Source organism: Homo sapiens, chromosome 2, assembly GCF_000001405.40.
Source record: "Homo sapiens chromosome 2, GRCh38.p14 Primary Assembly".
Lineage (NCBI taxonomy): Eukaryota > Metazoa > Chordata > Mammalia > Primates > Hominidae > Homo > Homo sapiens.
In genome coordinates, this window is record NC_000002.12 from 46,239,040 (window position 1) to 46,252,228 (window position 13,189).

Consider the following 13,189-nt stretch of genomic DNA (forward strand, 5'->3'; position numbering starts at 1 on the left):
ATTAAACCTTTTTTTTTATAAACTTCCCAGTCTCAGGTAGTTCTTTACAGCAGTATGAAAATGGACTAATACACTCCCTGGCTAAATTGTATGTTTCTGAAAGTAAGTACTATGTCTTTCAGCCATTTGTTTCTTCAGTTCCTTATGCCTAGAAGGTGGTGGTGGTGATGATGGTGATATGGTAATGGTGGTGAGGATGATGATCATGATGGTAGTGATGGTGGTGATGATGGTGATGATGAATCATCCTTCTGCCCACAGCTACTTCCCAGTCTGTCTCCCGGGCCACGAGGTCACGGTGTGACCTAGAAGAGCAGTGATTCTTGTAGAGAATTTCCTGATTTGGGAGGAGAAACTGTGGGCAGCTGTGGCCCTCTGGCCTGGCTATGCCAAAGAAGCTTCTGCACCCTTGAGGACAGAAGTAGAGAGGGCTGCTCCCTCCCTCCTCCTGAAGCCCCAGGTCTTTGCCAGCCCTCCTACTCTGACTCCCCCAGGGCACTAGGCTTTACAGGCCTCGATGGATAGGAAGTAGGTAGGAGGAGGACCTCCTGCTTCTTCTGTGGCTAGAGTATAAAGCTTTGTTGTCCTTGCAGTATGTTCAGAAACCCCATTCCCACAGAGGCCTGGACCAGGTGGAGCTGACCTCCTGAGGGCAGCCTGGTTGGATGGTCCGGGCCTGGGAGTCACCTTAGAGGTGCCTGACAGGTGCCACAGGATCTGGGCTGTGATGCCTCAGCTCACCTGAAATCAGCTGCCCAAGTCCTAGCATCTGAGAGGCTCAGTAATAGCAGCTATGGGATCACAATTCTCTGCAATTTAGCAAATAATCAAGGACATGGCAAGCACCAGACACTGAGTGGGAAGGCTTTGAGATGCATTTCCTGCCCTATGCATAGGTGAGCTAGATACACACAGTCTGCTCACACCGGAAATGGGTGATACATTCAGAAAGCGGTGCTGGGTAGCAGCAGTGCTGTGCTAAGTTCAGGAGGGGAGGGCATGGTGAGCCAGAGGAGTCTGGGAAGGCAACACAGAGGAAGGAGCTGGCGGTTGACAGGGGAGAAGGCTCGGGGGATCTGAAAGGTTATCCTTGGGGTAATGTGCCCACTATTTTGTAACATGATGGTTTCCATCTCCCTCTACAGTGGATAGAGGCTGGGCCCTGGCATGGGCTCCTCATAAACATAGAGGTACCCTCTCAAGATAGACCTGACATCTAATGTTGACACTACTGACTTCTAGGTGTGTGAACCTGGGAATGTTATTTCACATCTCTGAGGCTCAGTTTCCTCATCTGTAAAACAGAGATAATGACTCTTACCTCTGATGCTTGTTTATTTTTGAGTCCATCATTCTCTGGAGTGAGATAGCACTCTCAAGAGAAACTTCTAATCTTTCCCTAATTTGAATGAGGTAGAGAATGGTACTGTTTGGATTCCTTGACTTCTATCAAAAAGTATTTATTTTCTCACCAAAAAAACCCAAATATGTACTATCTCACTAATATGAGGTACTCAGAGTCGTCAAAATCATAGAGACAGAAAGTAGATGGGTGGCTTCCAGGGATTGGGGGAAGTAGGGGATGCAGTTTCATTTAATGGGTACAGGGTTTCTGTTTTATGGAAAAGTTATGGGATAGATATTAGTGATGATTAAACAATATTATGAACATCTTTAATATCACTAACCTGTACACTTAAAAATGGATAAGATAGTAATTTTATGTGTATGTATTTTACCATAATAAAAAAAAATTGGGAAAAAAGGTACTGAAGTCCATAATTTTGCCCTGTGTTCTGTGTCATGAGGGAAGCAGAGGATGGCCTTTGGAATCTTCAAGCCTCTTTTGAGATACAAGGTTGGTCTTGGTTATAAGACTGGCTCTGAAGAGACAAGATTGTGCCTTGCCACAGTCCAGGGCAGTGTAGACAAACTGCACAGGCCAGACAGCAAGGTCTGTAGCGGCTTATAAAAGAGGACAGCAATAAGGGCTGGAGAAACCAGGATATACTGCTGTAGAGGCTGGTACTTGAATGGAACTTTTGACTTTGTTAAAATGGCCCAGCATGTTTTATATGGATGATCTTTCTGCCTATCCTTTGAATAATTTTTATGTTCGCATGTAAGTTATCTATTGCTGCCTAACAAATTATGCCAAAATATAGTGGCTTAAAACAACAAATATTTATTATCTCATAGTTCCTCAGGATTAAGAATTCTGGAATGGCTTAGCTGGGTGATTCTGACTTGGATCTCTCATGGGATTGCAGTCAAGATGTCAGTAGGGGCTGCACTGTAATCTGAAGTCTTGACTGTGCTGGAGAATTCATTTCTAAGTTCATGCCCATGACTGTTGGCAGAAGGACTCCGTTCTGCACTGGCTGTTAGCTGAGACTGCAGTTCCTTACTATATGGGCTATTTGAGTGTCCTCACAACATGGTAGTTGGCTTCTTTCAAAGTGAGTAATTCGAGAAGGGCAGGGCAAGGAGGAAGCTACACTGCCTTTTATGACCTCATCTTTGAATTACACACCATCACTTCCACTCTTTCCTATTCATTAGCAGCTGTCACTAAGTACAGCCCACACTCAAGGGCAGAAGGGAATTAGACTTCACCTGTGCAAGGGAGGCATATCACCAAATTTGTAAACATATTTTCAGACCATCACAATTATGGATTTTTTTTTCTTTTTAACTGAAAAAATGTTAAACAAAGCATACAGAATAGGATAATGAACTCCCATATACCCATCATCCAGCTTCCAATTATGAACACAGGCCAGTATTTACCAGCTTTATGGAGGTATGCCTGGCATACAATAAACTGCAGATAATGAAGAGCACAATCTGTTAGTTTTGACATATGCTTACACCCATGGAATCATCACCACATTCAAGATAATGAGCATACCCAGACCATCAAAATTTCGTTGTGCACCTGTTTGCTTCTCATTCACTTTTCTGCCTACTTTGTTATGCCGTTTTTAATATATAGACTGTAAAACTCCATTTGCAAAAGTCTATTGTGAGGAGAGCACACCAGCAGGAAGGATTCTTAAACTATTCTTTATGAGTTTTTCTGTTGGTTTTGCTAGTTAATGGTGAAATACAGGACCCACCATTTTTGCAGATTCATCTGAAGCTTATGGCCGTATTCACATTTTCACATTGCTTTTTTTTTTTTTGAAATGGAATCTCACTCTGTCACCCAGGCAGGAGTGCAGTGGTGCGATCTTGGCTCACTGCAACCTTCGCCTCCCCAGTTCATGCAATTCTCCCGCCTCAGCCTCCCGAGTAGCTGGGATTACAGGTGCTTGCCACCATGCCCAGCTAATTTTTTTTTTTTTTTTTTTTTTTTGCATTTTTAGTAGAGATGGGGTTTCACCATGTTGGCCAGGCTGGTCTCGAACTCCTGATCCGCCTGCCTTGGCCTCCCAAAGTGCTGGGATTACAGGCATGAGCTACTGTGCCCAGCCCACATTGCTCTTTTGAAGTAGCCCTGCTCCTCTCAAAATTGATCAGAATCTGAGCTTCAGTCGACAGGCAGTGAGATCAACAGCCCATTTGGCTCTGCCTTTCAGAGCATTTGGTACTGCTTTCAGAAAGTACGATTTCTGAAGGGGTGCGCATTTCATGGATTTGCACATGCCGCTCTGTTTGTTAAAGTGCATTCTTCTTTCCAAAAATAAACAAGAGGAATCATCTTTATCCTCTTTAAGCAAGGCACTTAAAAAATGAACTTTTTGGTTTCTCAGCAGATATTCTCAAATTGATTCTATCACTATTAATTTTAGCCTTCTGTTTACAAACATGTATAGGGTTACAGGTGGAGGGAACCTTATAAAATTAAAGATGTGGCTTCTCTTGAAGCAAAAATCAGTTCAACAAATTCATACAGAGATATATACACTTGGTTTACAATGCATAAGCATGTGGATATTTACACAGAGATTGAAGACATCCCCCTCGGAAAAAAACCCCATTTAAAGTAATTTCCGGCCTAAACTCTCATTGTACATCTATATCAGAAAACTGTCTCCTGCTATCAGATTTGGTTTTAATTCATTCAAATTATTTCTGTACATTCTCTCCTGGCAGAACGTCAGTCCCAGCTTTGGAAGGAAGAATCCAGCTTAAGGAAGCCCTTTGTGCCCCTTGGTAATTCATTTTTTGCCTCCCACCCTACCTTCATCTCCAGGTGACCACTGATCTGCTTATAAAATAGTTCACATTCTCTAGAATATTATAGAAACAAAATCATACAGCATGTACTCTTTTTGTTGGATTCTTTCACTCAGCTTAATTATTTTGAGATTCATCTATGGTGTTGTGTCTATCAATAGCGTATTCGTTTTTATTGCTAAGTAGTATTCCACTGTAGGTATATATTACTATTTGTTTATCCATTCATCTGTTGATGGGTATTTGCATTGTTTCTGGTTGTGGCCATTACAAACAAAGCTACTGTGAATATATGTGTACAAGTCTTTGGGTATACATATGATTTCATTGCTCTTGGGCAAGTGTCTAGCAGTGGAATGACTGGTTTATATGGTAGGGTATACTTAACTTTTTAGAAAACTACCAGACTATTTTGTAAAGTGGTTGTGCCATTTTATATTCCCAGCAGCAGTGTGCAGGAGTTAGCTCTTCCACCTCATCACCAACACCTGACATGATCAGTCTTTCTGATTTTAGACATACTAAAATTAGTAGTGGCATTTCATTGTGGTTTTAATTTACATTTCATGGTGGGGCATGGTGGCTCATGTCTGTAATCCCAACATTTTGGGAGGCTGAGGTGGGCAGATCACTTGAGGTCAGGAGTTTGAGACCAGCCTGGCCAACATGGAGAAACCCTGTCTCTACAAAAAACACACAAAAAAATTAGCTGGGCATGGTGGCGCATGCCTGTAATCCCAGCTACTCGGGAGGCTGAGGCACGAGAATCACTTGAACCCAGGAGGTGGAGGTTGCAGTGAGCTAAGATCACACCACTGCACTCCAGCCTGGGCGACAGAGTGAGACTCTGTCTCAAAACAAACAAACAAAAAAAAATCACTACTGACTAATGAAGTTTAACTTCTTTTCATGTGCTTATTTGTCATCCTCTTACTGTCTTTGGTAAAGTGTCTGCTGACAGGTTCTGCTCATTTTTTATTGGGTTGTTTGCTTACTTCCAGTAGAGGTTTTATTTTTCTTTTGAGGTAACACCCAGAACTATTTTTTAAAGCACTTTTTTGAGGTCTGATTGACATATAAAAAGCTGTACATATTTAATGCATGTAACTTGACATAAGTATATGTTTGTGACATTATCACCACAATCTATGGTATAAATATGTCCAGCATCTCCAAATGTTTCCTACCACCCTCTTTACTTATTATTAGGCTATATTATTGTTATTATTATTGTTATTTTTACTGTTTTTATAAAGTTTTGAGAGGTCTTCCTATATTCTGGATAAAAGTCCTGTTTTAGAAATGTGATTTGCAAGTATTTTTTCCCAGTCTATGACTTCTCTTTTCATACTCTTAAATGTCTTTTAAAGAGAGGTTCTATCTTTTTAATTTTAATTTTTATTTTTTGAGATGGAGTTTCGTTCTTGTTGCCCAGGCTGGAGTGCAATGGCACGATCTCAGCTCACTGCAACCTCCACCTCCTGGTTTCATAGGAGTTTCTTTTCTCGTCCTCCCAAATAGCTAGGATTACAGGCATGTGCCACCCTGACCAGCTAATTTTTTTTTTTTTTTTTGTAGAGTCGGGGTTTCACTGTGTTCGTCAGGCTGGTCTCGAACTCCTGACCTCAGGTGATAAACCTACCTTGGCCTCCCAAAGTGCTGGGATTACAGGCGTGAACCACCGTGCCTGGCCTAAAGAGAGGTTTTTAATTTTGATGAAGTCCAATTTATCCTTACTTTTTTGAAAATTTCTTTTTAAATAAAAGGGAACATGTTTTTTGGTGCTGTTCATAAGAATTCTTTGCCCAACCCTAGGTCATAAAGGTTTTCTGGTATGTTTTCCTCTAGCACTTTTATAATTTCAGGTTTTACATTGAGGTCTATGATCCATTTTGAGTTAAGTTTTGTATATGGTTCAAAGTATGTGTCAAAGGGTTTTTTGGGTTTTTTTTTTTTTTTTGCATACATACATCCAGTTTTTCCAGAATTGTTTGTTGAAAATACTATCCTTTCTTTACCTTTGTTGAAAATCAACTGGCCATCTATCTGTGGATCTAATCCTGGACTCTATAATTTTCTCTTCATCTGTTTACTTATCTTTAAATCAAAACACACTTTATTAATTACTGTAGTTTTATAATGAGATTTTTCCTGTTTTTAAAACCTGAGACATAATTCTTGTATCACAATATTCATCTTCCTAAGTACACAATTTAGTGGGGCTTATGTATGAACAAAGTTGTGCAGCCATCACGACCATTTAATTCCAGAACATTTGCGTCACACTCCCAAAAAAACCTGTACCCATTAGCAGTCATTGCTTGTTCCCCACCCCTTTGCCCTTAGTGGCTACGAATCTACTTTGCCTCTATGAGTTTACATGCAATGGTATGGTCGCCTCTCACAACTAATTTTCCCTTCCTTCCCCACTTATTAGGTAATAATAATACTGAATCCTGCATCCTTCATTTCCTTGTACCCCTTTTTTCTTTTTTTAAACTTTCCAACTTTTAGGTTCAAGGGATACATGTGCAGGTTTGTTACATGGGTAAACTGCACGTTGCAGGGGTTTGGTATACAGATAATTTTGTCACCCAAGTACTCAGCGTAACACCCAACAGGTAACTCCCACTCTCCACCCTCAAGTAGGCCCTGGGGTCTGTTGTTCCCTTATTTGTGTCCATGTGTACTCAATGTTCAGCTTCCACTTATGAGAACATGCAGCATTTGGTTTTCTGTTCCTGTGTTAAGTTGCTTAGGATAATAGCCTCCAGCTCCATTCACGTTGTCGCAAAGGACATGATCTCATTCTTTTTATGGCTGCGTAGTATTCCATGATGTATATGTACCGCATTTTCTTTAGCCTGTCCACTGTTGATAGACATCTAGGTTGATTCCGTGTCTTTGCTGTTGTGAATAGCGCTATTGTTGGAAATGCTTGTTCCCCGGTGCCATAGAGAAATAGCACTTGAACATAAATTTAATTTACTCAGCAAGGCCATTTTTACTTCCTGCAGAAAGAGTACACTTGTCAGCAGTTTTGCCACGAGAGTACACCGAACAAAGGAGAAGGGTATTTATAACCTGATGCGTCCACCTTACTGTTGTATCTGGTTTCCATTGGCTGGAACGGGACCTCACATTCTGTATTTGTCCTGATTGGCTAGCAACTTAGAACTTTTTTAAAGAGGCAAAGGCAGAGGAGAACAAAGGAAGGAGGAAGTAACTTGTGGAATGCTGAGAAAGGTAAAAAACACCTTCAAATAAGGAAGAGGAACAGGCTATTATCTAATGCTTGCTTGGACCAGTATAAGCATGCCAGGGCAAATATTTAGGCTAAATTGTGGGAGCTAAGAACATAAAGTACATTGATTTATTTATCATGGCTAGCAGATATTTAGGACTGCTAGCACAGGTCTTTGAATAAATTTTGCTTCTAAGAGAAGTTACTATTTTTTCCTAATTAAATGGGGAGGAAAGTCTTTGAAGAGGAACCTCTGCTTTACTTTTTACACTATGATGAACATACACATTCATGTGTATTTATGGCAGAATGATTTCTATTCCTTTGGGTATACACCCAATAATGAAATTGCTGGGTCAAATGGTAGCTCTATGTTAAGTTCTTTGAGAAATCTCCAAACTGCTTTCCACTGTGGCCAAACTAATTTACATTCCCACCAGCAGTGTATAGATAAGCATTCTCTTTTCTCGACAGCCTCACCAGCATCTGTCATTTTTTAACTTTTTCAGTAATAGCCATTCTGACTGGTGTGAGATGGTATCTCATTATGGTTTTGATTTGCATTTCCCTAATGATTAGTGATTACATTGAGCTTTTTTTGGTATGCTTGTTGGCCACAATGATTGTTGTTATAAGTCTTCTTTTGAGAAGTGTCTGTTCAATGTCTTTTCCCATTTTTAAATGGGATTATTTGTTTGTTGCTTGTTGATTTGTTTAAGTTCCTTACATATTATGGATATTAGACCTTTGTCAGATTCATAGTTTGCAAATATTTTCTCCCACTCTGTAGGCTCTGTTTAATCTGCTGATAGTGTCTTTTGCTGTGCAGAAGCTTGTTAGTTTAATTAGGCTCCATGTGTCAATTTTTGGTTTTGTTGCAATTGCTTTTGAGAACTTAGTCATAAATTCTTTCCCAAGGCTGATGTCCAGAATGGTGTTTCCTAGGAATCTTATAGTTTGAGGTCTTATATTTAAATCTTTGACCCATCTTGAGGTAATTTTTCTATACAGTTAAAGGTAAGGGTACAGTTTCATTCTCCTGCATGTAGCCAGCCAGCTATCCTAGTACCATTTATTGAATAGGGAGTCCTTTTCCCATTCCCTATTTTTGTTGACTTTGTTGAAAATCAGATTGTTGTAGGTGTGTGGCTTTATTTCTGGGTTTTCTATTCTGTTCCATTGGTCTATGTATCTGTTTTTGTACCAGTACCATGCTGTTTTGGTTATTGTAGCCTTGTAGTATAGTTTGAAGTCAGGTAATGTGATACCTCCAGCTTTGTTCTTTTTGCTTAGGATTGCTTTGGCTATTTGGGCTCTTTTTTGCTTCCACATAAATTTTAGAGTAGTTTTTTCTAGTTCTGTGAAACATGTCATTGGTAGCTTGATAAGAATAACATTGAATCTATAGGTTGCTTTGGGCAGTATGGCCATTTTAACAATATTGATTTTTCATATCCATGAGCATGGGATATTTTTCCATTTGTTGGTGTCATCTATGATTTCTTTTGTTTTACCTGTCTGGTTAGCTGTTATTCTTAGGCATTTTATTTATTTTGCAGCTATTGTAAATGGGATTGTATTCTCGATTTGGCTCTCAGCTTGGATCTTATTGGTGTATAGAAATGCTCTTGTACTGCTTTTTAATATTATTATTGTATCCATATAACTTCTTAAATGTAATCTTAAAATTTTTACCTAACTTTGTAAAAGTGATGTTATGCTGCATGTAGTCTGGGGAAAGTTACATTTTTCACTTGATATTATACTGCTTAGGTTTATTCATATTATTGTCTATCACTACAGTTTATTTATTTTAATCCCTATGTGAGAATATGCCAGAGTATGATCTTCCACTCTCTGGAGATAGACATTTGGATTGTTTCCAGACTTTGGCTATTGTAAACAGCTCTGCTATGAACTCTTACATGTGTTTCCTGAGTACATGTGAGTGAGTGAAAATCTGGGGCATAGATTATGTTTATTTTCAACTTTAGAAAATAGTGCAAAGCTGTTTTATAGAAATGGTTTCACCAATTTATGCTCCCACTAGTAATGTACAAGAGACCCTGGAAATGTGGATCCACACACTCTAAAAACTTGATATTGTTTGACTTTTAAAATATTTCCCAATTGAATGGATGCAAAACAGTGTTTCATTATGATCTTGATTTGTGTTTCCTAATCAGCAATGACGTTGAACATCTTTGCATGTTTATTGGCCATATGGTTTCCCTTCTGTGAAATCTCTGGTCATGTCTCTTGTCCATCCTTCTGTCGGGTTGAGTGGGTCTATCCTCTTATTTAAAATGGTTGTTATATATATGAAAATATTCTTGATACTAATCTTTGTCAGTTGCGTATATTGCAAATATCTTCTCCCAATGTATAATTTATCTTTTTTACTTTAAATTGTCTCTTGAAAAACAAAAATTCTTACTTTTAATATAATCAAATCAATTTATCATATATGTATTTTTGTTGTTGTTGTTGTTGTTGTTTTTTGAGACGGAGTCTCGCTCTGTCGCCCAGGCTGGAGTGCAGTGGTGCAATCTCGGCTCACTGCAACCTCTGCCTCCTGGGTTCACGCCATTCTCCTGCCTCAGCCTCCCGAGTAGCTGGGACTACAGGCGCCCACCACCACATCCAGCTAATTTTTTGTATTTCTACTAGAGACGGGGTTTCACCATGTTAGCCAGGATGGTCTCGATCTCCTGACCTCGTGATCTGCCTGCCTCGGCCTCCCAAAGTGCTGGGATTACAGGCGTGAGCCACCGCGCCCGGCCTTATCTTTTATATTTAGCCAATGCTTTTTGTGTTTTAAGAAACCCTTTCCTACCCCCAGGCATAAAAGATATTCACACATATTTTTTCCTAAGAATATTAAAGTTTTGTTCTTGACATTTAAGTCTAATCTATTTGTAGCTGTAAAAGGATCTAATTTAATCTATTTTTCTTTGAGTAACCATTTTCGCCCAGTTTCATTTATTGACTAATCCCTTTTGTCCCCACTGGTTGAATGTATGACATCTATTATTTACCACAGTTTCATGCTATATGAATCTGTTTCTGAATGCTCTGTTTTTTTGTTTGTTTGTTTGTTTGTTTTTGTTTTTGTTTTGAGAGGAGTATTGCTCTGTCACCCAGGCTGTAGCGCAGTGGCGCCATCTCAGCTCACTGCAACCTCCACCTCCTGGTCTGAACTCTTTGTTCTATCACATTGATCAATTTGTCTATACCTACACCTCCCTGGGATACCACATTGTTTTGACCACAAGAGCTTAAAAATAAGTCTTGATATGCAGTAAGGCAATTTCCTGCTCATCTTCAGAAGGGCCCTATTCTTGGCCCTTTGGTTTTTCAATTAAATTTTAGAATTGTTTTCTCATGTTCCATTTTTAAAAGCCTCCTAATGGATTTTCAATGGAATTGCATTTAATTTATAGATCATATTGGGAAGAATTGACATCTTTATGATAATCAGGTTGTCAGTTCATAAATTAAGTATTTTCCATCCATTTATGTATTTTAAGTATCTCTTAATAACATTCCCCTGTTCTTCAACATCACTTGTTAGATTTATGCCTGCATATTTTATATTCTTTAATGGACTACAGGCACCCACCACGACGCCTGGCTAATTTTTTGTATTTTTTTAATAGAGACAGGGTTTCACTGTGTTAGCCAGGATGGTCTCAATCTCCTGAGCTTGTGATCCGACTGCCTCGGCCTCCCAGAGTGCTGGGATTACAGGCGTGAGCCACCGCACCCGACCAACTTTTGAATATTAATTTTATATCCAGGCACCCTGATGAATTCTCTAGGCTTTTAGAATATTTGTCCTTGATTGTCTTAAATTTCACTGCATTATAGATAGGTATGAGTCTTCCCTTTTTTCTCCTCTTTGGTGCTCTTATAGGTCCTTTCAATCTGAGGTTGCTCGGTTTTTCTTTTTTAATTTCAGGAAATACATATCTATTATTTCATAAGGTATTTTATCCCTTTTTCTCTTTCTCATAATTCCTATTAAACAGACATTAGCATTTCCACCTCTCAAATTCATATCCCCTAACTTCCCTTGCATGTGTTCTAATTCTTTCCTTTTTCTCTTTGAGAGCTTTTTTCCATTTCAATTTTGGGCTTAGGAATTCATTTCTAGGTTGTAATCATCCTGCTATTTATCCATCTATTGTGTTCTTTAATCAGAGTACAAGCTCCTAACTAATACTTCTACTTGGTTCTTATATTACAAGCTTTTCAAATTGCCGGCCTATTTGGGCTGGGGGCTCATTTTCTCCTAAGGGTACTGGCTAATGTGTCAGGCAATAACTGTGTGGGGAGGGCCAGATTCTAGTCTGTGAAGATTTCAGAAGACTCAAGAGATGGCAATGAATAAACCTGAGGGTGGAGAGAGCTTCCAGCACCTGAAAACCACAGTCCGCACCCAGGCCCAGCTTATCTACCAGCTGCAGCACACACGGTGCCTAGGGTCCACAACATTTTTAAGCACCCACAGAAGTGTTTTATTTCTAGTTTATTTCACTAGCTGAAGAAAGAAATAAGTATAATAGTAATGAATATAGAACAATGAACGAATTCAGCCTGGATTTTTTCTTTTTTTTTTTTTTGAGATGGAGTCTTGCTCTGTTGTGCCCAGGCTGCGGTGCAGTAGCACAATCTCGGCTCGCTGCAACCTCCGCCTCCTGGGTTCAAGCAATTCTCCCATTTCATTATCCCAAGTAGCTGGGATTACAGGTGCCCACCACCACACCCAGCTAATTTTTTGTGTTTTTAGTAGAGATGGGTTTCACCATATTGGCCAGGCTGGTCTTGAACCCCCGATCTCAGGTGATCCACCCGCCTTGGCCTCCCAAAGTGCTGGGATTACAGGCGTGAGCCACCGCGCCCGGCCCAGCCTGGATTATTTTCATCTTTATATCAATGCAGCTATAAAATATGATTTTTAATATATTTTATGAGGGAAGGGTACACAGAACTCACTAAAGTCATAACACAGGTCTGTCCTCACTCCCATAAAACACAGTCAATCACTGCTCAATCTACAAAAGAACTGCCAGGCCACTTCTGGTCTTTTCTCCTCCTCCTCCCATGCCCCAGACTGAGAAGTGCATTAGGAGGAGACACTCCCTAGGGTGTAATTTCCAAGCCCTTAGGACTGGAAGGAGATGGAGTAGGAAAGGAGGCCAGTTGGTCCCTACATATTTTTGTCACTTCCTTTTGAGCGCAGGGCTCCTGCTCTGTCTGATTTTAGTTCTGAGGCACCAGAGGTATGAGGACAGCACCTGTCTGACCAGAGAAATGGTGGTAGAAAAGCAGGAGCAGAACTCCAGCAGTTCACTGCTCAGTTTAGCCTCCTAGGAAGTGCTAGAAGCCAGAACACGTCTAGCCCCAGGCCAGTCACTTCCCACACCACAAATCAAAACAGTTTCTGTCATGCTAGGGTGTCCTCACAGTTTTCTATCTCACATTTCTTCCTGGTTGATCGTGAGGGAAGAAAACCGGCAGATGTACTCCTTAAAGATGCAAATCTTATCTTGCCACTTACCTGGCTGAATAGCCTTTGGTGTTTCCCACTAGGCTTTCAGAGTCTTAATCTGATTCATTTAGGAGAAAGGAGAATTTATTATAACCTCCACTCCTACTAAGGTCCTCTCTGCTGCTTCTTCCCAACTCTCTTTCAAGAAGTATTAACTGGGAAGCTCAGCATTGAGAACTGCCGATTTGGTGCCATAGAGAAGTAGGCAG

General features: G+C 40.0%; 1 long non-coding RNA gene across 1 annotated transcript in view, besides 1 other annotated feature; it reads left to right on the plus strand.

Annotated features, from left to right (window-relative positions):
- Positions 639-688: an enhancer, noted in NCBI's record as "active region_15701". NCBI's record gives its function as "activates an Ori minimal core promoter by ATAC-STARR-seq in GM12878 lymphoblastoid cells {active_cell/tissue: GM12878}" and the evidence as "EXISTENCE:reporter gene assay evidence [ECO:0000049][PMID:35858748]".
- The window catches only part of LOC101926974 (uncharacterized), a 44,062-nt gene continuing 38,270 nt past the window's right edge, over positions 7,398-13,189 (plus strand). Inside the window, exon 1 of the long non-coding RNA XR_940051.4 lies at positions 7,398-7,428. This is a non-coding gene — a long non-coding RNA (uncharacterized LOC101926974). The remainder of the gene's footprint in view (positions 7,429-13,189) is intronic.